Raw genomic sequence first — 27,048 nt, 5'->3', positions numbered from 1 at the left:
GCACCTGCTGCATGCCCACTGCTGGGCCTGGTGCCACATCCTCTAGATTTTGAGTGCCTGGGGGCCTCCTATGAGACCCTTGATGAGGGTTGGGGGTAGAGGGTAAGGAGAGTTGGGTTACCTGCCCTAGCAGAATAACCTCTCTCTTGATCTGAAGTGTACAAACTTCTGGTCACTAAACGGTTATGACTTCTTTGTAGGTGGATGAGAAATGTGTGCTATTTATATCCAGAGGAGTAGACAGAACTAACCTCCACTTCCTTGGGCCATGGGCCAAGCTCTGGATAGGACACATGTTATCTAATATACTTATTGATATTGTCCCTGTTTTATTTTATTTTGAGACAAGGTCTCACTCTGTCACCCAGGCAGGAGTGCAGTGGCACAAATACAGCTTATTGCAGCCTCCATCTCCTGGGCTGAAGCTATCTTCCCACCTTGGCCTCCCATGTAGCTGGGACTATAGTTGCATGCCAACATACCCAGCTAATTTTTTTATATGCGTCTGTAGAGACAGGGTTTCACCATGTTGCCCAGGTTTGTCCCTATTTTGAAGATGAGGAACAGAGACCCAGAAGGGCAAAGTAGTTTATTCCAGGGTCTGACAGTAGCAGCCCCTGGGTGAGGAAACTGGGGATGGAGAAAAGGATAGGTCGCAGCCATGAGGTGGGCACTGTTTTCCTCCCAAGCCTCAGAGAAGGGGCAGACTTTGAGCAATGAGCTGTCACAGTTGAGGGCCCCAGTAACCAGGTGGCCACCAGCTCAAATAATCTCTGAACTGGAAGAGAATTAAGGGTCATCTTACTGCAACATTCGAGTCATGAAGGCGTCTCTTCTCTAACACTTCCTTGACGTGGTCACTCCCTTGGTTGCTGCCAGTGTCAGGGGAGAGGGGTTGAGTTCCACCAAAGACAGTCCCTTCTAACTATGGACAGTCAGATGGTTACAGAGTTCACCCTCAGACTGAGCTAGAATCTTGCAGCTCCCATCTCCTGGTTGGTCAAGTTTTAAAGATGAGGAAACAGACCACATAGAGGTCAAGTAACATCCCAGCATCACACAAGCTGAGAAGTAGCAGAGCTTAAGTTTACATGCAGTTGGGCCCGTGCAGGCCCACAGTTAGCCCTGCCTCCAGCAGTTGTCCATTGAGATTGGTTCTATCCCCAAAGGCCCCATCTGGAACCAGTCTGTCTTCACAGAATGGGGCCAGCCCAGGGATGTGACTGGAACTTGGCTCCCACTTTCTCAACTCCTACAACTCAAAGGAAAACCCTTGGCCATTAGCTGTGTGACTAATTCTGGCCTGAGAGTGTAATCTAAACAAATTCCACCCACTACCTTAATAACACAGCTGGTTTACCATGATTTCCCCAAAACACAACTAGGCTGAGTCAATATTCATGTCCTGGCCAGGAAAATAATTGTTCTTCTTTGAAGAGTCGTTATTACCATCCAGCTCTGACCCTGGGCCCTGCCTGCACACCTGGTTTTCCATGGTTCCTCTGTGGGTGGGTGGGTAGATGAGTTAACCATCTGCGGGAAGGGGAAGGAGAAGGGCTGCCGTGAGAGGTCTCTGAGGCTCCCATGCCTTTCCCTGCTCTAACCTGGAGCGTACTCCAGAAGAGATGCCTCACAGGGTTCTAGAATGTACGCAGGCCTGGAGCCCAGGGCTGATTCTGTCACTCTCTATTTTGCTTCATTTTCCCCTTCCTTCAGTATTTATATATGGGGACACCGAAGCCCAAAGAAGCAAGGTGACTTGCCCAAGATTACTCTAGGGCAGGAGCTAGCACTAGATCCTAAGTGTCCAGGTTCGTGGTGTGGGCCCTTTGCCCTGTCTTTGGTATGACCAGATTTACCCTGAGTCCCAAGGGGAATGACCAGGGGACCCCTGCCAGGCTCACCACCAATCCCAGAATTGCTGTAGGCAAGAGGCAGTGCCAGGTTTTAGAACAAACACCCCATTTACACAACAGGCCACAAACACATGCAACTCATTAGCTCCCATTAGGGAGAGACAGTAATTCAGAATGGATTAGGTTTCTTGAAGCTGAACCCATATTGGCCCTGAAATCTTAGTGAGGGGTTCTCTCCGCCCCGCCCCCTCTCCCAGAAGCCTGGGTTCCGAATGGGTTCTGCAGTGAGGCCTCTAGAGTCTCCACAGCAAAGGGCAGAATAATGTGATTGGGGATATAGAGTGCCAAGGCTGAGCTAAAGAAAGGGCAAGGCTTGGAATTGAACCCAGGAAGCTTCCTGGAGGAGGAGGCGGGGCTGGCTTGGTAGAACAAAGGGAGGGGTGGATTTTCTTGCTGGTGAAAAGAGATTGAGTGGGAGGTTCAGGGAAGAGTGCAAACATCCTTCCCCTCTCTCCCCCTAGCCCTGGGGCTCCTTCTCTGCTCCTTCCCGGCCGGGTTTGGGGGCGCTCGGGAGGGTGACGGCAGGGTCCTCGAGGCCCAGCCCGGCGGTGGGGGCGCGGCCGGCAGGAGCTCCCTCCCTGCTCCAGGAGCCGGCTGAGCGCGCCCCGCGGGGGGCTCCGCAGCCCTTACAAGGAATTTGGTGGCGCTTGGGGTGGCCCCGCCCGCCAGGCTCCACCGGCCCCTCCTCCCCGCGGGGTGGCAGCCCGCTGGACGCGGGGCCGAGGGCGCGGACGCCGACGGGTCCGGGGCCGCGCGCTCCAGGGAAGCCTGCATCCCGCTCCCCTGGGCCCCGACGGGCGGGCGCACTGCGCGGGGCCCACCGGCCGCAGACCTGCGTGGCCGTCCAGGGCGTCGCCATGTCCTCGGTGTTTGGAAAACCCCGCGCGGGCAGCGGGCCTCAGAGCGCGCCCCTCGAGGTCAACCTGGCCATCCTGGGGCGCCGCGGGGCTGGCAAGTCTGGTGAGTGGCGCCGGGGAGCCTGAGCCGCCAAGTGCGGAGCTGGGCGTGGGTGGGGGGACAGTGGGCTGTGCTCTTGGGGGCAGGTTCTTCCACTGGCTTGGGGAGCTTCCTTCACCCAGGAGGGTCGCACAAGACACCGTGATTTTCTTTGCCTCAGTTTCCCTGTTGCCGGGCTTTCTCTTCTCTCGGCTTTGTGCTCAGCTCCACCATCTCTGTCTTCTGTTCCCTGCCTGCCTCTTCCCTTTGTGTCTTCCCACTGTCTCTGTCCTCCGTATCAGTGACCCCTGCTGTCTCTCCCCTCTCTCTTGTGTGTCTCGGAGTCCTTTACTGGTCGGTCTCCCCTGCCACCAACCTTCCAACCCCCACCCCTATGACCTACCCTGGGGCCAGCAGTCAGTCCTGGCGACTGGCTTCAAAGGGACCTGTTGGGCACTGATCCCCCTACCCAAGGCGCCTCTTTGAGCTTAGTCGCAGCCTTGCTACTCCCTGATTAGGCTTGGGGGAAGACTTCCCGTCCAACCCCTCCCCCTCCACACCCCCTCCCCGTAGAAGGGAGCTGGTGAAGTCACTAGCTGTTGAGATTTCTCAGGGAAGGTCCACTCCCCCACTCCCACCCCCATTCCCTGGGATTCTGGGACAAGTTGTGCATTCTTATCAAATGTGTTCGTTTCAAGCCAGACCCCTCTCAACTTTCTGGAAACACATTGGGTTATGGTTCCAGGTGCATGGGATTGTCCTTGATGAGCCAAGATCTTGGGCTTCCATTGAGATAATTTGTGTCAACACTGAACTATGCCACTCCTGGCTGGCTGAAGGAGGGAGGGCAGAAGGGGTCCTCCACTGGCTGTTTTTCCAGTTTTAGCCGTTAGTGATGGCCAACCCAAGCTCAGCTGGCTGTGGGTTTCCTCCCCAGAGTGTTCTGTAAGACTCACTGGGGGCCTACTCTCTGATTTTGAAGCCAGCCCCACCCCCAGAGAGGGGACTCTGAATCTGGTTTTCCTACAGAAGGGATTACCCTCTTCCTTTGAAAGATTTGCCCTTTGAAAATCAGATTGTTATCCGTAGCTCTGTAACCGGTACCGTTTAGCCAGTGACTACATAAAAGAAAGAATTTAAATTTTAAAATATGTATTCCCTGGGTATTAGTTTGCAAACTGACACCGTTAGGAATCCTAGGAAAGAATTTTAAGGATTTTATTCACAATGTCACTTTTTTTTTTTTAAGACAGTGTCTCTGTCACTCAGGCTGGAGTACAATGGCGCGATCATGACTCACTATAGCCTCAAACTCCTGAGCTCAAGTGATCTTCCCTCTCAGCCTCCTGAGTAGCTAGGACTACAGGCATACCACCATGCCTGGTTAATTTTTCAATTTTTTTAGAGATAACAGTGTCACTGCATTGCCCAGGCTGGTCTCAATCCCAAAGCACTGGAATTACAGGCATCCCATTACTTTTCTTTCTTTCTTTTTTCTTTTTCTTTCTTTCTTTCTATCTTTCTGTCTTTGTTTCTTTCTCTTTTCTTCCTTCCTTTTTCTCTTTCTCTTTTCCCTCCCTCCCTCCTTCCCTTCATCCCTCTCTTCTTCTTTCTTTTTTTTCTTTCTTCTTTCTCTCTCTTTCTTCTTTCTTTCTCTTTCCTTCTCTTTCTTTTATTCTCTCTCTTCTCTACTCTTCTCTTCTCTTCTCTTCTCTACTCTTCTCTTCTCTTCTCTTTTCTTTTCTTTCTTTCCAAACAAGCAGTAGCGAACATTACTTTTTGAGGGTCCAGTATAGTAGTTGGCTGGTCTTTGCTTTATATGGCTACACTCTGAACCAAAGAGAGCTTAATTCTTGAGTTTTACATTCTGCTGAGATATCCATGATGAGTGTAGAGGCCCCAGAGAAAGCCAAGACTTGCGATGTGGGAGACCAGGACCAGAGTGTGTTTCTTCGGGACACAGACCTCACCTGGACCTTACCTGGAAAGCCCAGGCACTTGGGGATTTATACCCTTCCCAAAGATCAACCACTGCAATCAACTCTGCTCTTCCTGTGTTTTTGGCTTGTAGCTAAAGCCTGGAGTAAATAGCCCCACACTTCAGAATCTCTGTGACTTGTCCGGGGTGGGCGACACCTCCCTTCAGTTGAGGTTTCACCAGGCTGACTCTAGGGTAATGGTTGCATGGGTCCTGACCCCTGAGTTCATACCTTCCAAACACCCCTTAGGCTTGCCACTCATTGCTTTCCTTGCCATTAAAAAAAATTCCCACGGTGCAATTAGAGGCACTTGGCTCCCCGTAGTTCTGGTTTCCTTCTGAGCCTTTCAAACCAATTCCTCAGTTCCCTAGCTTCATTCTCTGGGAGAGCTGAGCTTGGTGTCAGCCGGGGATCACAGAGGTTAGATAAGGCCTCCCTTAAACGAGGGGCCAGCAGCTAGACATGGCCGCGGAGATGGAGCCAACCTCTTTCTGCTTCTTGCAGCCCTGACCGTGAAGTTTCTGACCAAGAGGTTTATCAGTGAATATGACCCCAACTTGGGTAAGAAACTACTCCCCGTACCTTCTGCTGCCTGTGCCCCATCTGGAGTGCTCTCCTGGGACCCACCCCGTGGGTGGGCACTGACCAGGACTGCATGTCTGGGGACAGAAGGGAGAAGCCGCCAGGATGACCCAGCCCATGGGGGAAAATGTTTTAAGTGTCAGAAATACCCCTTCCACAGCCCACCCCAGACAACTGGGGGGTTGGCCTAATTCACAGAACTAAGAGAGGCTGATTTACCCTAAAATATGAGGTGTGAAAAAACTTTAAAAAATAAAAATAAACATAGCAAGACATCCACATCCAAACAGGTATTATTCTTGGGCCGGGTGCGGTGGCTAATGCCTGTAATCTCAGCACTTTGGGAGGCTGAGGTGGGTGGATCACCTGAGGTCAGGAGTTAATGACCAGCCTGGCCAACATGGTGAAACTCCGTCTCTAAAAATACAAAAATTAGCTGGGCATAGTGGTGTGTGCCTGTAATCCCAGCTTCTAGGGAGGCTGAGGCAGGAGAACTGCTTGAACCCGGGAGGCGGAGATTGCAGTGAGCCAAGGTCGTGCCACTGCACTCCAGCCTGGGCGACAGAGGGAAACTCTGTCTAAAAAAAAAAAAAACTCAAAAACAAATAGGTATTATTCTTCAAGATGGTCACTCAGTGTTCTCTTCCAGAAAACCTGGGCAGGACATTCGAGAAATTCTCTAGTGGTGCTGGCTTCTGAACCAGTTTTTTAACCGTATGAGAAAACAACTGTTGTTTTCATCGCTGCATCATGGTATATTGGAAAAAGGAACGTTTCGGTGTCAGTCAGAGCTGGGTTTGAATCCTACCTGGCTCTGCTCCTTATTGGCAACCTTGAGCCAGTCAGCTAACCTCTCTGAGCTACTGTTTCCTCATCTGTAAAATGGGCATTAAAAAATAGTTAGAGAATTGCTGTGAGGATTAAAGAAATAGCACATGTAAAAGATCCAGCCTAGTACTTGACCCACAGTAGGCACTCAATGCATTTTTGCTTTTCCTTCCTCCTCAAATGGATTCCCATACACAATAGCTTAGATTCCCTTCTAAAACAAATCAAAGCAGGATTTTATTAGTATAAATGTTGCTTAAAGCTCACATGTATAACATTTGTCTATTGTAAACTGTTCACTGAGAGCCATAAGGTGTCTGGATGATCTTAGCCTTTAGAAAATGGGTGTTGCAGTCTTGGATTATTTTCCCCATTCATAAAAATCAATTAAAGCATTCATGGGACCCCTGAGAGCCCTCCAAAGAAGCCCAAGGCTTTGTGACACAGTGGAAACCCCCTGCGCTCCCTGCAGCAGGCCCCTGATCCAGCGCTCCTGCCGCACCTGGAGGGGAGAGCTCCTTACCCTAGTGGTGCCCAGCCCCTTAGTTCAGGCTGGAGTCCAGCACCAGTGTTGCAGCAGGCAGAGACATCAGGGCTATTTAGTCCCCTTGTTTAAAAAAGCTTTTCCTTAGGTAGCAGAATCCCTTCTTCCAGATTTTAAACAGAACCCCAGGGTGTCAAACAGAGAGAGCAAAGGGGTTCCCATGGGTAAGTCAGGGATGCAGGGCAGGTGACATGGTGACAGTCCCTAAGAGATTTGTTCCTCGAAGCTCTGCTTGACCCCCGGTGCCTTGGCACAGCCCTTCAGTGCTACAGTGGAGGAAACAGGCCCAAGGAGCTGAAGACTCTGGGCCAAGGTCACCCAGAGGAGGCCCTTTGATTAGCAGAGGTCAGCTCCAGAGAGAGGAGGACACAGGATGCAATGGTGCACTGGCCGGCGAGGTGTTGGAAGAGGCCAGAGCATGGAATAGAGATGGGGTGGAGAAACTGAGGACAGAGGTGAGGTGGGAGGACAGGAAGGAAAGGCACACAAGCAGACACAGTGTCTGGGAAAGGACAAGGGGAATTCCCAAGGGCAGGGACTCAAAAGACATATTCGGCCTAATTCAAATATTGCATGGGTCATGCTTATACCAAAAATTATTCCTTTTTTTTTTTTGAGATTCAGATTTAACTGGGCATCTTGTATTTTTCCTGGCATCTCACCTCCAGTCTGTCTTCCTCCCTGCCTTCCAATCGATACTGTCACAGGGTGCCACCGGATGAGCCTATTAGGGTGGTGGTTTGAGCCTCCTGATTGAATAATTTTGGAGTTCTGACCTGGTAGTGGAATGCGTGGGCAGACTGTCTGGGAAGTGGGCAGCCCCACAATGGTCAGTCCCCTTGGTCTGTGGTCTCTCACACTACACTGACAGCCCACGAGTCAGAGAGCCAACCAGACATTCTCCCCTCAGACTCTCTGGGAGGCCAGTGCCACTCCTCGAAGGTTCTGCTAGGAGGGGCCTAAACATTCCGGCCACTGTCCCATTGTTGGTTCCAGCAGCAGCAGAGACAGATGAGAACCTTTCCTTCTGTGGATAAAGGTCTCCACATTCCATTGGGGAGCTAGCCATCAGCAATGCTGGTAAAACAACTCTCTAAGCCCTTCCTAGGTCTTCTGAGAGCCTGAGCTCATTTGGTGAGCCTTGAGGGTGGAGATTCATTCCCATTTCCAGCAGGTAGCACAGTACTAGCTTCAGTGTAGATGAGGGTTTAACTGGGGGGGTGGTAAATTTTGGTTTTAGGATTACCCTTTAAAGAAGAGCTCCTATCACGATCCTCATTTTATAGGTGGAGAAATGGAGGAAGAGAGGGCTCAGTGATTTGCCTTAAGATTATGGAGACCCTCAGGCACAAAGGAAGACGAGGCATGGCTCCAGTTGCTCTCCGCTAGGAGCAGCCTCATGTCATAGAGGGCCTGGAGTCAGAGGTCTGTGTGGCATGGGGCCCTCTGAGCTGTGGTTTCCCCATCTGGAAGATGGGACCAATAGCCTGTGCTCTGGCTGTGTAAGAGTTGCACCGTTTTCTGGGGTGTGGCTGTTAGAGCTGGTAGTAGCTGAGAGATTCAGTGTCTGTGGAAGGGCTTTGCCTGTGCTGAGACCCGCAGGAGTGGGCAGGCGTCTCCAGGAGAATATTCTCCTCTCCCAGAAGGGCTGAGGGTGCCTCATCTGGCTCAGCCAGGGAAGAATGTCAGCTTCTCACTCCTCTTGCTCTCCTCCTCCTCCAGCGAGGACATAGGCACCATTTCTTTTTTTTTTTTTTTTTGGTCACCCAGGCTGGAGTGCAGTGGCGCAATCTCGGCTCACTGCAAGCTCCACCTCCCGGGTTCACACCATTCTCCTGCCTCAGCCTCCCGAGTAGCTGGGACTACAGGTGCCTGCCACCCGAGTAGCTGGTACTACAGGTGCCTGCCACCATGCCCGGCTAATTTTTTTGTATTTTTAGTAGAGACAGGGTTTCACCGTGTTCAGCAGGATGGTCTAGAACTCCTGACCTTGTGATCCGCCCACCTTGGCCTCCCAAAGTGCTGGGATTACAGGTGTGAGCCACCACGCCCGGCCCAACATAGGCACCATTTCTGAGGCAGCACCCTGTATACACTCTGACGTGAGCTTCTGTGGTGCCATTTAAAAATTATTACTATAAATGAGAGGAAAACATCGGCAAATTCAAAACTTTGGGAAATGACTCTTCTCTCTACCCAAAAGTCCACAGGATATTAATTACAACCAGGTGTTAGGAAACCCATATATTTAAGGACACCAGAGTACTCTGAGGCAGGGACTTGATGATAGGAAGTCTGGACATTACTGTGACTGGGAAAGGAGCCCCTCACTCCTGCCCCAGCCCCTGAGGCCTGTCACTTCTTCTATAAAGGGAGGCTGGACAGTACGAGCTCCAAGGCTTCTTCCAGCTCATGCAGGCATGTTCCACATCCCCACCAGACTGGGCGATTCTGGTCTTCCCTTGTACTCTGCCCAGACAGAGCTGGAGGGTGGGCTGATTCACTGAGCAGTCACGGGGTGAGGGGGTCCCATTGTGAACACAGCCCAGCCTGGAAGCCCTGAGTTCAAGTTCCTTCTGCTGATTAGGTGCTGTGTGGCCTTGGGTGAGATCCCTTCTCTGGGCCTCACCTTGCCATCTCTCTACAATGGAGCTAACAGCAACCTTGAAAGGCTGTCATGCTGTGGGCAGGAGACCAAGGTTGAGCTAGCGCCTTTCACTGGGCTGGGCAGGACACTGCGCCCATTGAGGGGAACTCCTAAAAGGGGTGCATCTGACATCTTTGACTGGAAAATAAAGACAGATCTGAAAGCGATGTAAGCATCTAGGGGCAGCTCTTCTTGGACCAAATATAGTTAAACATTTGGAACATAGTTTCCATTAGATTTTTTTTGTCTTTGCATAAGAGCAGCTATTTATCCAAGTCCCCAAAGCAGGCTGGGGACAAGAAGCTGTCTGTGATTCATGCTGGATGCTAGTGGACCTGGAGTGTGTCCAGGCCAGCTTGGCTGCCAGTGGCCCTCAGAAAGAAGTGTTTGACTATAAATTCAGCCAGGGTTGGGGGCGTGCCCTCTCACAGTGGATGCTGCCAGGAAGGCAGAGACCACCCCAGTTCTGCCAAAAGGTGACTTCTTTAGGGTCACTAGGGGCAGGGGACACCTAGGGAAAGGTGATAACCAAGTGCACTCACACATGTGGGCCAATGACACAGGCACAGATTGGGGGTGCAGAGAATGACTGCCAACATGGCCGCAAGGTCCTCTGCATGCCTGGCCACTTGTTGCTTTCTCAGATTTGAGATCATGAGAACCATATATATAAAAAAAGTAACAACTCGAGAAATTCAAATAAGGTCACTAGTTTGGTTCATAGTATGGTATCAATGTAAATTTCTTTTTGCTCATTGGGCTATGGTTATGTAAGGTGATGACACTGGGGGAAGCTGGGTGAAGAGTACACAGGAACTCTACTATTTTACAACTTCTATGTCAGTCTAAAGTTATTTCAAAAGTTAAAAAAAAAATCACCTGGGAATGTGATCCTGCCCTATTAACTTTGGAACACCATCATTCCCACTGCCCTCACCAGGCATGTATGGTGAGCCAGGCCCCATGCCTGGGGGGCCCATCCAGTTCTTACAGAGCCCTGGGAGATGGGACCGTTAAATGAGCTAATGTCAAGCACTTAGCACAGCGCCTGGGACAAAGGAAAGGCTTGGAAACTGTTAGCAATGTTATCACAGTGTTCCCATTTTAAAATGAGGAAACAGCCTCAGAGAGCTGAAGTGATTTGGCCAAGTCACAAAGCTAAAAAGCAGCTGACATTGGGTTTAATACCACATTCTCCAACTGAAAACTTCTGACTACACTAGACTCCCCTGCTGTCATGTTGACAAGGATTATTTGTAAAACCTTCTCGGAACTTCTAAAAGGGGTCTGACTGCCATTCCTTCCATTGTATTGTGTACTTCTCTTTTCCCTTGTCTCTTCTCCCACTGGGGACAGGAGGTTGGTTGAGGGGGAAGAGAGTGGGAAAGCCTGGGGTTCTGGGATAGAGGGGCTAGCAGTGTTGCTCCTGAGCCAGCCTGTGCTGCTAACAGGGTCTAGGGGCCACACACTCGACTCTATCCTGCTGGTTTTGTGTGTGGATCCAGAACACAGACCCACCCCCGAGGTGTGGTCTGTGAGTGACCACTGATGCTGAGCCCTGCAGGTGGAGCAGCATCTCCTTGGTGGGAGGTTCTGCCTGTAGCCTCCATGTGGGTGAGAACCAAGGACTTTCCAGTGGTCCCAGCCCCAGAGCAGCTGCTAAGGTCCCCCCAGGCCACACAGGGGTCTAGCACAGAGGGAAGCTCAAACTTACACCCAAGGCACTGTGTCTGACCTGGCTAACCATCTGTGTTGTAGAGGACACCTACAGCTCCGAGGAGACTGTGGACCACCAGCCTGTCCACCTGAGGGTCATGGACACTGCAGACCTGGTAACATTACCTCCATTACCTATGCACTGCTGTGAGTCAGTATAGCCTCCTGAGAAGTCCTGGCCCAGAGTGCGGGACCTCAGATAGGCATTTAGATGCCTTTTAAGCTCAACTTTGCTGTGTAACCCTGAATGAGGCACTTGACCTCTCTGGGTCTGAATCCTTCCTTTGCCAAATGAGAAGGATGGGACAGGGCCTGGAGAGACATGATGGTTGCTGGCATCTGCTCTGAGATCCTGTGCTGTGGGGCTCTGTGCCTGTGCACACGAGGAGACAGGTGCACACCTGTTTACACAGATGCTCCTGGTGAGAGCCCCTCGGCCCAGGTCTCTCCCACACACAAGTCTCCCCCCATGTCCTCACCACCCCCTGCCAAGGCTGGATGCCAGTTACTCTCAGAAGCCAAAGGGGCAGCATGAACTCAACCCAAAACCAGTGGTGCCCAGGGACAGCCAGGTCTCTGTAGGGACCATGCCAGAGTCTTTGGCTCTGGGCCCAAGGGGCCAAGGTCTCCAAGTCTCTGGCTGGGTGGTGGGAGGGAGGTTCATGAGACAATGTCTCCTTTCACACCAAGCCAAATCCACACTCAAGTGCCCCTTTGAAAGGGCTCTGCTGAGAAACAATATACAAAGACCGGGGAGTGGGGAGGTGGGATTGGGCGGCTCAGGTGAAGGCCTTTACCCCAACCTCCTCTGCCCCCCGGCGGGGCTTCTCACCTTCACCCCAGGACACCCCCAGGAACTGCGAGCGCTACCTGAACTGGGCCCATGCCTTCCTGGTGGTGTACAGCGTCGACAGCCGCCAGAGCTTTGATAGCAGCAGCAGCTACCTGGAGCTGCTTGCCTTGCACGCGAAGGAGACACAGCGCAGCATCCCTGCCCTGCTGCTGGGCAACAAGCTGGACATGGCTCAGTACAGGTGAGCACAGCCTGCTTGGCCGTTATCTCCAGAGCTCGCTTTCTTCACTTGTAAGGTCAGGTGGCATCTTGAGGGATTAGTGGGCTGCTAAGAACAGTCATCCCCTTGAATTGTGGTAGAAGGGATTATATGTTTGTTTGTGTGTGTGTTTGTTTTCTGAGACAGAGTCTCACTGTGTCACCCAGGCTGGAGTGCAATGGCACCATCTCGGCTCACTGCAACCTCCACCTCCTGGGTTCAAGTGATTCTCCTGCCTCAGCCTCCCCAGTAGCTGGGATTACAGGTTCCTGCCACCATGCCAGGCTAATTTTTGTGTTTTTAGTAGAGATGGGGTTTCGCCTTTTTGGCCAGGCTGGTCTTGAACTCCTGAACTCATGATCCGCCTGCCTCAGCCTCCCAAAGTGTGGGATTACAGGCGTGAGCCACCGTGCCCGACCACAGGGATTATGTTGTAAGGGTATGGTAGATGTTGGTCTTCCAGGCAGCCAAGGACTTGAAGGGAAACGCTTCTGGGTCACACAGCAACTGCACCCTGAAAGTCAGAAGAGTGGCCACTCCTTCCGCGCTCTTGGGTCTCTGTGGATTCTCTTGGACTCACCCTTCTTGCATGAATCTATCTGACCTTCCGATCTCACTCCCAGCAGCTGACTGGTCTAGTGCCCAATTCCAATTCTAAGGAGAGAGGCTCTGATGGGCTCCTTGGTCAGGTGTCTGCTCTGGTCCAATCGGCTCTCACCTCACCCAGACGCAGCCTCCCACTCTCACTCCCACAGTTGGCTGGGCTGAGGGCAGGTTCTCTTAGAAAGGGTTGGACTCGAATCGGAGGTCAGAGACTGGGCCAGAGGATGCATTACTGAAGAATACTGCAGCCATATTTTGCTTGGCTGGCATAGTGTCTTAAAAGACCTAGAATTGGAATGCTTTGAGGTGGGGCACGCTCTCTCCAGCCGACCCCAGGCCTCACCACTCCCCGTGGTTTACCTCCACCCTTTCCACACATTCAAGTTGCCCGCCTGGCCCTGAAGCATTTGACACTGTGATGCCTGAACTTGATGAGTAATGCCACTGGATTTCTCCAGCACTGACCTTTGTCCTCTGTGGCCAGTCTACCTGCAAGGGATAGCCCCTTCCACCAGCCACTCATCCCTCCCTGTTCACGGTTGGTCAGTCCTGCTGCCCTAGGCCCCAAGGGCACATTGACTGGTGTTAGCAAGGAAGGGACCCTTTGTTTAGAACGGGTCAGATGGGCCGTGGGAAAAAGAGAGGTGTGGGACCGTGAAAGGGGACTATGGTGAGAGGCCTTCAAAGGTGGCCAAGCCCTCAGACCTAGGCAAATTGTGTCTCAGAGAATGAGGGAAGTCATGTGACCTGAAAGCTGCTGAAGGTAGTCTTTGAGGAATTGCAGACCCTCTTAGGGGTCAGAAGACTGGATTGTGAGTAGGCCAGTTTTCAGTACAGGGAAAAAAGCACAGATCACTCTTTTGACCCCAATCTTTGCCAAAGGGATTGTCTAAAATGGTTTGGGAGCAAATAACAAAGCATACATGCTCAAATGAAGCTGATCCCACCCGTTCCCTAAAAACAACTCAGGACAATGTATTCCTATTTCATTCTTCGATCAAGTCCCAAGTTTAGTAGATTAGGATTCTGGGAAGCACAGGAAGTCTAACTTTTAGCTGAGCATTGGCCATTGTCTCCCACGACTGTCTCACTGTTAAAAGGGTAAAATGTCGGTTAGGTTGATGCTTCCCAAGCCACTGATAAAATTTTCCCTAGGATGCAACAAAATAAGAAAAAGGACAATGTTCTGTGCCTCTGTCACCCACTCACACACATGCACGCACACATGGGGTTTGTGTTTGTGAAAATTCATTATTCAAGCCCCCACAATGACAAAGTTGCAGATTCAAGCTCATCATAAAAGCAAATAATAGCAAGTGTTCTTTCCAAAAGGGTTCCTCAGGAAGCGGTGAGCTTACTGGCACCACGGCACCCAGCCCTGGGTGGGGAATAGATCCGATGCCTCTGACTCTTTTTTGTCCCAGTTACTCACTCTCTCTGAGACCGCGTGCCTCACCATGGAGTGGCACTCTGGGAAGCTAGCCCACTCTCAGCCCCTGCTCCTGCCAGGTCAGCCTTGGGCTCAGAAACTTTTCCCACCATGGCCCACTCGAGTGCCTCCTCTCATCTAGTGGCTGTGCCATTATCCTCGGGAATGGGCAGCGGGACAGCTCAGCAGTAGGTCAGGAAGATCCAGCCAGTGGAGTCTTGGCCCCAAGATCTCAGGGACCCCCCCATCTCTTCCCTCTTGTAGACATCCGACCTATGCAAGGCCAGTCTTCTTTTTCTTCCCGCCTCGATTCCCATGGCTTTCAGGTCAGAAGCCTCCAGGACCTTCCCAAGTTCCGGATATTCTATCCTCCCTTCACGGGAGGTGGTGTAGGACCAAGGCAGAATAGGTGTTGCCCCCTCTCTCCTTTTGCCCTCCTCACCATGAAATGTTGTCCCCCCTGCCCTCTCCTGCCTCTGCCCTGGTTTTATTATTTGCTTTTATGATGAGCTTGAATCTGCAACTTTGTCATTGTGAGGGCTTGAATAATGAATTTTCACAAACACAAACCCCAGGAGCCCTGAGAACTCTGCCAACCACAGGCTTCTGGAGTCACCTCTGTGGTCTAACCCTTCAGTCCAAACGACTGCTTCTCTCTAGAGCTGATCCCACAAGCCAGAGCTGTGGGTGGCCTGTTTCCTGCCCCAGGGACCCACGATGGGGTAGAGAAGAGATGGGGCTGGGAATGGCCTGCTTCCTCCAGCCACAGGCAGGGTCTAGCATAGGGGATTTGGAGTAGCTTCTTACCCTTACCCTCATCCCAAAATTCTGGCCTGGGTGACATCAGCTACCATTTATTGAGCACTGACTCTGTGCCAGGTACTGTGCTAAGCACTTGAAACAAATTGTCTTTCGTAATCCTAACAACCCTGAGAGGCAGAGGGCAGTAACCCACTGTACTGATAAGAACGCTGAGACTCAGAGAGGTGAAGATGACCCCAGGCCACCCAGCTAGTCCATGGGGCGCTGGGTGTAGGAGCTGGTCTGCCTGACTTGGCACAGCCTGCTCCTAACTCCCTGCCTCACACTGCTTCCTCACCAGGCAAGTCACCAAGGCAGAGGGTGTGGCTTTGGCAGGCAGGTTTGGGTGCCTGTTTTTCGAGGTCTCTGCCTGTCTGGACTTTGAGCACGTGCAGCATGTCTTCCACGAGGCAGTGCGAGAGGCACGGCGGGAGCTGGAGAAGAGCCCCCTGACCCGGCCCCTCTTCATCTCCGAGGAGAGGGCCCTGCCCCACCAGGCCCCGCTCACCGCGCGGCATGGGCTGGCCAGCTGCACCTTCAACACGCTCTCCACCATCAACCTGAAGGAGATGCCCACTGTGGCCCAGGCCAAGCTGGTCACCGTGAAGTCATCCCGGGCCCAGAGCAAGCGCAAGGCGCCTACCCTGACTCTCCTGAAGGGCTTCAAGATCTTCTGAGGCCCCCTCCCCAGGAAGCCTAGGCTCGGTGGCTGGACAGGACTGCAGCAGGACAGGGACTGGCTTCTCACCACCAGCCTTTCCGTCTGATGGACAGCAGACCCCGCCTCCAGCACCAAGCAGTGTCCCTACACTCAATTCACTGTGTGAGCTGGAGTGGCAGGCAGGGATGCTGCTTCTGTTCCCTCCAGGCCTTGGTCTTCATGGTAACCACCGCGTCTGTGGCCGTAGAGGGAAACAGCCACTGTGACAACCCAGAGACCTGGGGTCAGCCTTAAGTAGGAAGAAATTGCAGTGTCTATCCTGCTGCCATCAGCCCTTCCTGCTCCAGCTACAGTTGGGCCAGCTGTGGCCTTAGTGGATGGTCTGGGTGGATGGCTCTGTCAATGTCAGGCCCGAGAACAGCCTGCGGAATGACAGCCTGGGGTCCTTGTGCCACCTGGTGGACGGGAAAGGCAGGGCGGCTGCAGTTTCAGAGGCCAGAGCCTGGCCCTCCTGTCATCTGCTGACTTCACAGAAGGCCCAGGCTACAAACCCCACAGTTTATCCAAGGAAAATCTAGTTAAAATAATCCAATGGACAGAAGCCCCAGGAAGGGGTATTTCCAACACTTGGCGTCTCAATGAGGATAAAAGGGAGGGACTGTAGGTTGTCCAGCATAAGGAGCCCCAGAGTTCTTTCACCAGCAGACAGATTCTCCATGTGTTTTCCCACTGTTAAGGACTCTGTCCAAAGAACCTCAGCATCAGCTCCCTCAAGCTTAATGATCCAGGCTGCAGAAGAAAGTTGTCACTCCAGTGAGTTACCCAGGGCTCCAGGGAGCCCACAGCAGCATCAGACCCATCCAGGGGCTACAGGGCCTGCCCCCCTGCAGGTAGAAACACAGTATACCCGTTTGTCATCTGGTTTGGCAGGACCCAGGACCCTCAGCAATGAGTCTGAGTGTTCAAAGCCCACTTTAGAACCTAAAGCATTTTGGGTTAATAAAGCAAAATTTTGCTTATGTTATTTGGTGGTGTCACCGCAGCTTATACCAAGACACCATGGCTCAGACATGGGATCAGGACACACCTTTGAGATCCCACTGTTAGCAAGAAAAGGCTGTCCAAGGCAGGCAGTGTGGTAGTTGTCTGATTTTGTTTACCACACGCCAGGTCCCAGGGAAGTCTTGCACAGACTCTTAGCAGACAAGCAGGGAAAAGAGAGGGTCCTGGTGGGTGGAAGGATTGGGAAGGGGATTCTGGGCCTGGAAGCCTGCTCCTTCCCCTCTCAGCCGTCTCAGGACTACTGTTGGATTGCAAACAGCATCTCTGACCCAGTCTTCGGACTCATTCTGTAAATGGAGGAGCTGAGGTCAGAGGGGGGCTGTGAACTACTCAAGACCACATGCTTGCAGTCCTACAGGCTTCCCGACCCACAGGCCAGCTACGGATTTTGCACTTTTGCTCCAGGCCACTTGTGTGTGTATGTGTGTGTGTACCACTGCCATCTGAACAAACTATGCAATACCACCTGCTCCCTTCCAGGAGCATTTTAATAAAAGATTTTTTTTAATAACAGAATTTTAGTTTGCTTGCAGTTCATTCATTGTATCTGCTAAGAAAAAAAAAAAGAAAGAAAGAAAAAGAAAAAAGCGGCTTCTTGGGAGAGACTCTAAAACCTGAGAGGTTTCAGGCCACTGAGCTGAGCCCACATCATGTGTCTGGCTTAGGATGGGGCTTCTCTGAACCCTCACTAGCTCTCAGTTTCTGGTACATCCGGAAGGAAAACTGACAGCACATCTCTCTCTTTTAACTCAAGTTCCACCTGGGCCAAGTTTGGCTTTTCTGAGAGCAAAGTTTCTCTTAGGTTGTTTAGGCTGTTGTGATCCTTGGCCTCATCCAAATGCAGGACTTCTGGAGTTTCTTTTTCTGGTGGCTGCATCTTTTCTTTTCTGGGGGGACAGGGAACAGTGTTAATGAGGGGGGCTGAGTGGTTGGGGCAGGACTGGGTCGCCCAAATGGCTTAAAGAGTCTAAGGGGAAAATTCTCTATGCAGTTTGGGAGCTACTAGAGGAGAAGCGGCAATGGTTGGATATTCCTTCAACAGAGAAATGGCTTACCCTTGAGTGTGTGTCATCTCAAGGAATCCTTACTGTCACCTGTGAGCTCAAGTATCATTGCCACCCCCGCACCTTCCAAGTGAGGAAATGTGCTTCAAGGAGACCAGGTGCAGTGGCTCACACCTGTAATCCCAGCACTTTGGGAGGCTGAGGCGGGTGGATCACTTGAGGCCAGGTGTTTGAGACCAGTCTGGCCAACATGGCAAAACCCCATCTCTACTAAAAATACAAAAATTAGCTGGGTGTGGTTGTGCCTGTAATTGCAGCTATTTGGGAGGCTGAAGCAGGAGAATCACTTGAACCTGGGAGGCAGAGGTTGCAGTGAGCCGAGATTGTGCCACTGCACTCCATCCTGGGCAATAGAGAGACTGTCTCAAAAAAAAAAAAAAAAAAAAAAAGCCAAGGATGCACATAGCTAGTGTGTGCACTTAAGCCTCCTGACTCTTGAATCCTGTGTTCTTTTCACCTAACCACACTGTCTCTGACCTTGGACTGTCATCCTACTTAGCGTAGGTCCTTGTCACCACACACCTCATCCCTCACACTACTGCAGGAAATTTCTAACTAATCTCTCTGCCTCTAGGTGTTTCCTTCTCCAAACCAGCCTAGGCACAACACCAGTCATGTTTCTAAAACCCCATCGTGTACACATCACTCCCCTCCCCCAACCACCTTCATTGGCTCCCACTGCCCACTTCCTTAATAACTCCCATGTGTCTGTCCTCTCTCCAGATTGGTTTTATTCAAGGTACCCCTAGACTTCCTGGCCATAGTGGAGGGACCCAGCGGTGGTAAGCTGTCTGCCTAGAGATTCTGACTGGGTCGTAGGGGGAACAGGTCTGCTGTACCCATGGACAGCCACTCATCTCTGAGTTGACTTTGCTGAGGTGCATGTGTGCTGATAGGGTGAGAGGGGCAAGCTCGCCTTCTGAATGGCTACACTCCTCCAGGTCATGCCTGCTTCCTGTCCAGGGCCAGGGGGTGGTAATCAGGGACTGTTGCTGTTTTTTGTTTGTTTGTTTGTTTGTTTTTAACAGCTTGGGGTTCTCGAAGGACACTGAAGGCTGAATTTTGCTGTCCCAAAGGGTGGACAGCAATGACCCCTAAGTGACCCCTCTCTAGATTTCCCTCTGGGAAGGCAGGGCCTCTACCCCACAGAGACCACCCCATCCCCCCAGGACCAGCTCCTCACCTGCTTGCCTGGATGCTTCTTCCCAGGAGGACCATGCTTATAATGACCACCACAGCTGCCAGGGCAAGGATGGAATGATTCCAGGGAGATGCTGGGGAAGGACACACAGGACAGAGCCCTGAGGAATGGCCAGGCACCTCTCAAGCCCGCTAACAGCTGGGGCCTGGGCTCAGACCCAGCTTACAGCATCAACTGTCCTTTGCGTGGAGACCCTAATCAAAGATGGGCCCCTTGCCCTGGGGCACTCCCAGTCTAACAGGTGGGAGGGTGGAAGACAGTCTCTACTCTGGAGAAGCCCTAATCTAATGGAGGAGACAGTACTGCAGTTAAATAATAGTGGGGCAACAGGGGTGAAGGGCAGAGGCCTACGGAGGGCAGGAGACAGGTGGGCCAAGATAAACTTCACAATCTTCAGTTTTGCCAGCCTGGGCTGGACCTGCGGAGCACAAGGAAAAGAAAGAAGGCTGGGCTCAGTGGCTCACGCCTATAATCCCAGCACTTTGGGAAGCCGAGTCAGGTGGATCACCTGAGGTCGGGAGTTCAAGACCAGCCTGGCCAACATGGTGAAATGCTGTCTCTACTAAAAATACAAAAATTAGCTGGGTGTGGTGGCATACACTGTAATCCCAGCTACTCAGGAGACTGAGGCATGAGAATCACTTGAATCCAGGAGGCAGAGCTTGCAGTGAGCCAAGATTGCACCACTGCACTCCAGCCTGGGCAACAGAGTGACCCTGCCTCAAAAAAAAGGCAAAAAAAAAAAAAAAAAGAAGAAGAAGAAGAAAGAAAAAAAAAGGAAAGAAAGAAGGCAGGGAGAAGGGTGGAAGGAATGGCAACTGCCCACAGATAATACATGAAGTGACTAAACTGAATGTGGCTACTCAAGATTTGTCCATGCTGTACCCAAATGAAGCAGGGTCCAGCCTCAGAGCTCTTGCATTTGCTGTCCTCCCTCCAGGAATGTTCCTCCCCCAAATAATTTGCATACCTAATTATTTCCTTAGTTTCCTGCAAGTCACCTTCCTGATGATAAAAATGTCACCTTTTTAGTGAGGCCTTCCTTGACCACATTACTGCCCTTGCTGCATACTTCCTATTCTCTTTCTCTGTTTAATTTTTCTTTTTATTACTCATCACCAACGCACTATGCGTTTTAGTTGTTTATTTTTAATCCCCACTAGAATGTACATTCCATGAAGGCAGAGATTTTTGTGTTTTATTCACTATTGTCGCCCCAGTGCTGAGAACAGTGTCTGGTACAGAGTAGGAGCTTAATAAATGTGATGATTGGAGGGCTGCATAAATAAGCGACCACACCCTGAGAAAAGGAAGGGGCGGTCCAGCCAGACCCCTCTGGGTACTGAGACACCCCGACTGATTCCCTGTCTTGGAGGAAATGTACCGCCTGACCTGGAGGGGACGACAGTGTCAGGACCTTCAGCCAAACTCTGCTCTGTGTTGAGGGGCACACCCCCACCCCTGCCGTCAATCTCTCACCACTTACCATCTTCCACACGAAAAAACCAAAGCATCTCTTCCAGCAGCTCCTGGGGTACCACAGTACCGGCTGGGTCTCCGGGAGCCCCCTCACTGTGCTCCATGCCCCTGCTCCTGGTAGCGTGTGCAACGAGGTCCTTAGACCCCTTAGCCCCAGCAGCCCTCCTGGCCTCCTCGGTTCTGGCCCCTGGGCAGAGAAGCCGTGAAGACCCCTGGAAACAAAGCAGACAGCATGACTGGATATCCCACCCGAGTTTGATCTCCCTCTGTGCCCAAATCCAGATCTCCTCTGGCCCAAAGTTATGGGACAAAAACGACCCGAACGAACCCAGGAGCACGTGGAGCCTGGAGGGGCAGAGACTGGAAGTGGGAGTGACTCAAATATTTATTAAAAGCCATCGCATGTGTGGAGGAGCACTGTTCTGGGAGTGAGGAGGACTGAGCCACTGGCGAGTTCTGGGACCCTTGCAAAGGACATCTCGGGTCTTCGCCTGCCTGTTCAGCGTCCGCACCTGGCTTCTACGAGCCCACAGCGCGCCCACGCGTTGCCATAGCAACTTGTCCCTTGGGTGTCATGCGGTAGCCAATCACAGGCCTGTGTTTCCCCACATGTCAAAGGCTGGGCCTATCACGCCTCTCTCCTGGGGATTGGCACGCCTACGACACAGAGAGGAGAAAAGGGAAAAGTGCCGGAGGGAAAGGCAGCTGCCGGCTCCTGATGCTGAGAGGGCACCCCCTGCCCCGACCCCGAGAGCTTTTTTTTTCTTTTTCTTTTTTTTTTGGACAAGTTAGCAGAATTGGTTTCTGTTATTTGCAAGGGAAGAACTTGAATCCATGCTCTCTGGATAAATCCCTTACTTCGTGTAGGCCTATTTCCATCCCAACTATTAATAATAAACTGAACCTCAGTCAATCTCAAAACAGTCAGACATTTTGACGTCTTCTTGTACTAACTGCATTATTACTACTTAATATAAAATTTTCTAGCATCCATACTTTACAAAACAAAAAGAAATAGGTAAAATTAATTTTGACAACATATATTATTCAGGCCAATATTAAAATTGTTAAGTTATTTCGCTTTTTTTTTTTTTTTTTTGAGACGGAGTCTCACTCTGTCGCCCAGGCTGGAGTGCAGTGGCACGATCTCTGCTCACTGCAACCTCCGCCTCCCAGGTTCAAGCGATTCTCCTGTCTCAGCCTCCTAAGTAGCTGGAATTACAGGCGCATGTCACTACCGCCCCACTAATTTTTGTATTTTTAGTAGAGATGGGGTTTCACCATGTTGGCCAGGCTGGTCTCGAACTCTTGACCTCAGGTGATCCACCCGCCTTGGCCTCCCAAAGTACTGGGATTACAGGAGTGAGCCACCGCGCCTGACCCAATAACACATTTTTTTAAAAGGACACGCATTAAACACATTAAGCTGTGTCTTGGGGAGGAGGAGGAAGGGAGTAGGAATGGAGATAAACGTAACTAAAATAAAACAAGAGAAGTGTTTTGAACAGATCAATTATAAAACATGCCATAGGGCACCAAGAAAAAAAGTGTACAGGGAGGATCGAAGCATTCTCAGGTCCCCTCACACTCTGTCACTGCCTTAGGTGCTCAACAATCTCAGCCCCAAATAGCCTTTGGACACTTAGCCAGGGGCATTCAAAAACAGCTAGATGGCAAACAGCCAGACAGAAAATTGGAGTATCAACAAAAGGACTAGCTTTACATCAGAGTTTCCTCTAGCACTAAATGCTCTGAGAAAACTAAAAAGGCATATCTACAAATTGCAAGGGAAAATATTTTGACACAAATACAATACTGACTTAAGCTTTTCATATGTGAATGATCATTCATATGCCAAGGTGGAGATGGAAGTCAGGGAGAAAAAAAGACCTTTCTTAGACTTTTTTTTTTTTCTTTTTTTTTCTTTTGAGACGGAGTCTTGCTCTGTCGCCCAGGCTGGAGTGCAGTGACGTGATCTCAGCTCACTGCAACCTATGCCTCCTGGGTCCAAGCGGTTCTCGTTTGTGCCTCTGCCTCCCAAGTAGTGGGACTACAGGGCATGCCACCACGCCAGGCTAATTTTTGTATTTTTAGTAATGATGGGGTTTCCTCATGTTTCCCAGGCTGGTCTTGAACTCGTGACATCAGGTAATCCACTCGCCTCGGCCTCCCAAAATGCTAGGAATACAGGCCTGAGCCACCGTGCCTGGCCCTTTCTTAGACTTTCAAGGACTCACATGCACACTGCCTACTTACTCATTTGAGGGAGATTCTATCTATCTATCTATCTATCTATCTATCTATCTATCTATCATCTATCGATCTATCTGTCTATCTATCTATCTGCCTACCTACCCATCTAAAATCATGGAAAGACAAAGTTACAAGAATGGCCAACAGATGTGATCTTGTGTTCTAGCTCCAACTGACTGTCCAGAGCACTGTCCAAGAAGGATTGTGACATTCCATCCAGTCTCAGATGTAAGAGTGCCTGGATTGATTAGTAACATCAGCCACAGGCCCCTGTGCCATATGCAAACCCCTGAACTCACAAAGAAAAGTATTGAAGTTGAGAAACCAAACACAGTCTTCTTCTAGGGTGTGGGATGAGATTTAGACACATGGGATATTCATGTTGACCACTCCTGTATTGTGTGGTTTCTTATGCGTATACACTGCTTTCATGAGAACAATACATGTAATTCCATTTTTAATGTGTGTATATATTTCTATGTATATTTTGTCTATTTGTATGTATGTTTTTTTTTTTTTGAGATGGAGTTTTGTTTTTGCTGCCCAGGCTGGAGTGCAATGGTGTGATCTCGGCTCACTGCAACCACCGCCTCCCAGGTTCAAGAAATTCTCTTGCCTCAGCCTCCTGAGTAGCTGGGACTACAGGCATGTGCCACCACACCTGGCTAATTTTTGTATTTTTAGTAGAGATGGGATTTCACCATGTTTGCCAGGTTGGTGATCCGCCTACCTCAGCCTCCCAAAGTGCTGGGATTACAGGTGTGAGCCACTGCACCCAGCCTTTGTATGCATTTTTAAATGTAGGTATTATTGTACTTATACCTTTTGAGACAACAATTCCAATTTTTGATATTTAATTAATGGAACTAATCAGATCAGTGTACAAAGACGCAGGTAAGCTATTGTCCACAGTGGAGTGGTGTTTTTTTGTTTTTTGTTTTTTGAGACAGAGTCTGGCTCTGTCACCCAGGCTGGAGTGCAATGGCACCATCTTGGCTCACTGCAACCTCCATCTCCCGGGCACAGGCGATCCTCTCACCTCAGCCTCCTGAGCAGCTGGTACAACAGGCATGTGCCACCACGCCCGGCTAATTTTTGTATTTTTTGTAGCGATGGGGTTTCATCATCTTGCCCAGGCCAGCCTTGAACTTCTGAGTTCAAGCGACCTGCCCACCTTGTCCTCCCAAAATGCTGGGATTACAGGCATGAGCCACCGCGCCTGGCCAAAATATGTTTAAAATATGTTTAATATTGTTACAGTAAACACATACCAACCAACAAAAAACCAAAATGACAAATTGGATACAAATCCAGAACCGAGAGTCAGCCCTCCTCAGCTATGTTAGATGCCACAGAAACAAGCGACATATTTCTTTCTTTTTTTTGAGACAGAGTTTCACTCTTTTTGCCCAGGCTGGAGTGCAATGGCATGATCTCAGCTCACTGCAACCTCCACCTCCCAGGTTCAAGTGATTCTCCTGCCTCAGCCTCCCAAGTAGCTGTGATTATAGGCATCCACCACCATGCCCAGCTAATTTTGTATTTATTTATTTAGAGACAGAGTTTCACTCTTGTTGCCCAGGCTGGAGTGTAGTGGCACCATCTCAGCTCACTGCAACCTCCGCCTCCCGAGTTCAAGTGATCCTCCTGCCTCAGCTTCCTGAGTAGCTGGGATTATAGGTGCCCGCCACCACATCCAGCTAATTTTTGTATTATTAGTAGAGACAGCATTTCACCACATTGGCCAGGCTGGTCTCGGAACTCCTGACCTGAGGTGATCCATCTGCCTCGGCCTCCCAAAGTGCTGGGATTACAGGCATGAGCCACCGCACCCGGCCAATTTTGTATTTTTAGTAGAGATGGGGTTTCACCACGTTAGCCGGGGTGGTCTCGAACTCCTGACCTCAGGTGATCGGCCTGCCTCGGCCTCCAAAAGTGCTGGAATTACAGGCGTGAGCCACTGCGCCCGGCCAAAGACATATTTCTATCAAAGCACGTATCCAGTTTGCTTCTAAAGTGAGCATCATATTGTCATTTGCATGATTAAATTAAACTTTATGCCTTATTTGCATTTTGTTAGTTTTGCCTTTAATGTTCTTTTCTTGTTCCAGGATCCCATTTAGGATGTCATACTGCATTTAGTTGTCTTGTCTCCTTAAGCCCCTCTGGGAGATCTCTGCATTTTAAACAGGGCTTAACCATCGTGCCATTGGACTGTGACTTCTGCCAAAGACCTGGGCCACCCATCCCCAAGGCAAGATGAGGACACTCACCCCGGATCCTGAGTTCCTGACGACTGCCTTGATCTGCTGTTGGGAGCAGCACCGATTTCTGTATCTTCCTTTTCCTCCTCTTTATGGGAGAACAGGATAGTCTTTGCACTTGAGCTCTCCCAGGCAGTAACAGCTGTCACTTAGGGGACAGTGCCTGGAGAGCCTGCGGCAGCTGGACCCATCTGGTAGCTCTGGCCTTAGCACACGCCCAGGCCTGGAGCCTTCTGTATCACTCCAGGGTGACTGACCTCTTGAATGAGTGCACTCAGAGTGCAAACAGGCTCCACCTGACTTTCACAATCCGAAAGCACCAGTAGCCCAGTGCTTTCATTGTTATGTGTTGGCCTCAAGTAAAGAGAAAACATCCGGATCCTCTGGACAGGCAGGAGAATGGACTGCAGAGGACCTGCGGTCTGTGGGTTCCATCACTGCAGGGGGATATGTAGTGTGCCCACTCCAGGTCTCTATTGCCCAATATCATCAATATTTAACCACGGAGCAGGGAGCCAGGCTGGCCTTTTACAGCCTGTGCTTTCTCATAGTGAAGGTCATGGCATGATGTGAATTCCTCACAAGGAGCTGTAAAATATGACCTTTGGAGGTGGGGGTTGGGAAAGGCTGTGTGAGCACCAGTGACCCAGAGAGTAGGAAGCAGGCCAAGGCAAGTAACTTGATGGGGAAGCAGGAATGAGGTGCTCCTCCCACCTGACCAGCACCATTCAACTCTGATAGTCTATGGACTTTTCCACCAACTGGCTCCGTGCATCTTAGGCAATCATTGTTGGTTTAGCAAGGAGTGGGCTTATGTGAAATAAGCCCACTCCTTTTTTTTTTTTTTTTTTTTTTTTGAGATGGAGTCTCGCTGTGTCACCCAGGCTGGAGAGCAGTGGCACAATCTTGGCTCACTGCAACCTCCACCTCCCCGGTTCAAGCAATTCTCCTGCCTCAGCCTCCTGAGTAGCTGGGACTACAAGTATGTGCCATCATGCCCGGCTAATTTTTTCTATTTTTAGTAGAGATGGTGTTTCACCGTGTTAGCCAGGATAGTCTTGATCTCCTGACCTCGTGATCTGCCCACCTCAGACTCCCAAAGTGCTGGGATTACAGGCATGAGCCACCACGCCCAGCCGCCCACTCTTATTTCTTACTTCACAAATGAAACAGAGGCTGAGTGAGGTCACATGTCAAGCCCAAACTCCTCTATGAGTTAAACATTAGTCAACAGTGTGTACTGTGTGTGCATGGGGCAGAGGAAAGAAGACCCAACAGGGAATCTAGGGGCTGCCTGGAACTCCAGCTCCTCCTCATTTTGTAATGCATTCATTTATTCATTGAATAAATGTTACTTGAGCATCTACTGTGTAGATACATGGTAAATAAGACAGGTGAGGGCCCTGCTCCATTGGAGCTCAAACTCCAGGGGAGATAGCCAACAAAAAAGTAAGCAAAAGCATAATTAAAAGATAATTATAGCAGTGATCATTTCTGTGAATATCTTAAACAACATAATAAGATAGAAAGGGATGAGGTGGGGGAGACATGATTACTATATTACTACACTAAAAACTGAATGATGAGGGGTTAACCATGCAAAGACCTGAAAAAGCAGGTACAAAGGCCAGGCGTGGTGGCTCATGCCTGTAATCCCAGCACTTTGGGAGGCCAAGGCAGGTGTATCACCTGAGGTCAGGAGTTCGAGACCAGCCTGACCAACAAGGTGAAACTCCGTCTCTACTAAAAATAAAAAAATTAGCCAGGTGTGGTGGCAGGCGCCTGTAGTCCCAGCTACTCAGGAGGCTGAGACAGGAGAACTGCTTGAACCCGGGAGGCGGAGGTTGCAGTGAGCTGAGATCGCACCACTGCACTCCAGCCTGGGCAACAGAGCAAGACTTCATCTCAGAAAAAAAAAGAAAAGAAAAGAAAGCAAGCAGGTACAAAGACACTGAAGAAATAATGAGCTTAATGTGTCTGGAACAAAAAGGTGGCCAATATAGCTGAATCATAGTGATGAGGGGGAAGTGG

At 50.5% G+C, this 27,048-nt stretch overlaps 2 protein-coding genes across 8 annotated transcripts in view, besides 2 other annotated features; one reads left to right on the top strand and one right to left on the bottom strand.

Annotated features, from left to right (window-relative positions):
- RASL12 (RAS like family 12) overlaps nucleotides 1-25,029 on the top strand; it is a 31,088-nt gene extending 6,059 nt beyond the window's left edge. For 2 of the 6 annotated variants that reach the window (NM_001379429.1, XM_011521660.4), the window contains 4 exons: nucleotides 5,336-5,392; nucleotides 11,191-11,264; nucleotides 11,992-12,182; nucleotides 15,335-17,272. In NM_001379429.1, coding sequence (NP_001366358.1) covers nucleotides 5,336-5,392; nucleotides 11,191-11,264; nucleotides 11,992-12,182; nucleotides 15,335-15,710 — 698 coding nt within the window. In that variant the 3' untranslated portion in view covers nucleotides 15,711-17,272. Of the gene's footprint in view, nucleotides 1-2,617; nucleotides 2,877-5,335; nucleotides 5,393-11,190; nucleotides 11,265-11,991; nucleotides 12,183-15,334; nucleotides 17,273-18,543; nucleotides 21,422-24,864 lie in introns of those variants that run through there. The other 4 variants (XM_005254434.5, XM_017022296.2, NM_016563.4 and 1 more) reach the window with 4 other exon arrangements.
- Nucleotides 15,176-15,676: an enhancer, noted in NCBI's record as "H3K4me1 hESC enhancer chr15:65347271-65347771 (GRCh37/hg19 assembly coordinates)". NCBI's record gives its function as "activates a minimal SCP1, AML or CMV promoter by ChIP-STARR-seq in primed H9 embryonic stem cells {active_cell/tissue: H9 hESC(primed)}" and the evidence as "EXISTENCE:reporter gene assay evidence [ECO:0000049][PMID:30033119]".
- Nucleotides 15,677-16,177: an enhancer, noted in NCBI's record as "H3K4me1 hESC enhancer chr15:65346770-65347270 (GRCh37/hg19 assembly coordinates)". NCBI's record gives its function as "activates a minimal SCP1, AML or CMV promoter by ChIP-STARR-seq in primed H9 embryonic stem cells {active_cell/tissue: H9 hESC(primed)}" and the evidence as "EXISTENCE:reporter gene assay evidence [ECO:0000049][PMID:30033119]".
- On the bottom strand, nucleotides 17,212-25,222 carry SLC51B (SLC51 subunit beta). Of its 2 annotated transcripts, none has more exons than NM_178859.4 (4): nucleotides 25,027-25,222; nucleotides 20,508-20,712; nucleotides 19,004-19,094; nucleotides 17,212-17,643 (listed from the first exon to the last, which is right to left on the bottom strand). In NM_178859.4, exons 2-4 carry the CDS (start codon nucleotides 20,602-20,604, stop codon nucleotides 17,445-17,447), a joined length of 387 nt encoding a protein of 128 aa, NP_849190.2. In that variant the 5' UTR covers nucleotides 20,605-20,712; nucleotides 25,027-25,222; the 3' UTR covers nucleotides 17,212-17,444. The 2 variants fall into 2 exon arrangements, with proteins under 2 accessions (NP_849190.2, XP_005254216.1); XM_005254159.6 differs by lacking the exon at nucleotides 25,027-25,222 and adding an exon at nucleotides 20,829-21,023.
- Between the last annotated feature and the right edge of the window lie 1,826 nt (nucleotides 25,223-27,048).

This window comes from Homo sapiens, chromosome 15, assembly GCF_000001405.40.
Source record: "Homo sapiens chromosome 15, GRCh38.p14 Primary Assembly".
NCBI lineage: Eukaryota > Metazoa > Chordata > Mammalia > Primates > Hominidae > Homo > Homo sapiens.
This window is presented reverse-complemented; position numbering and strand designations above follow the sequence as displayed.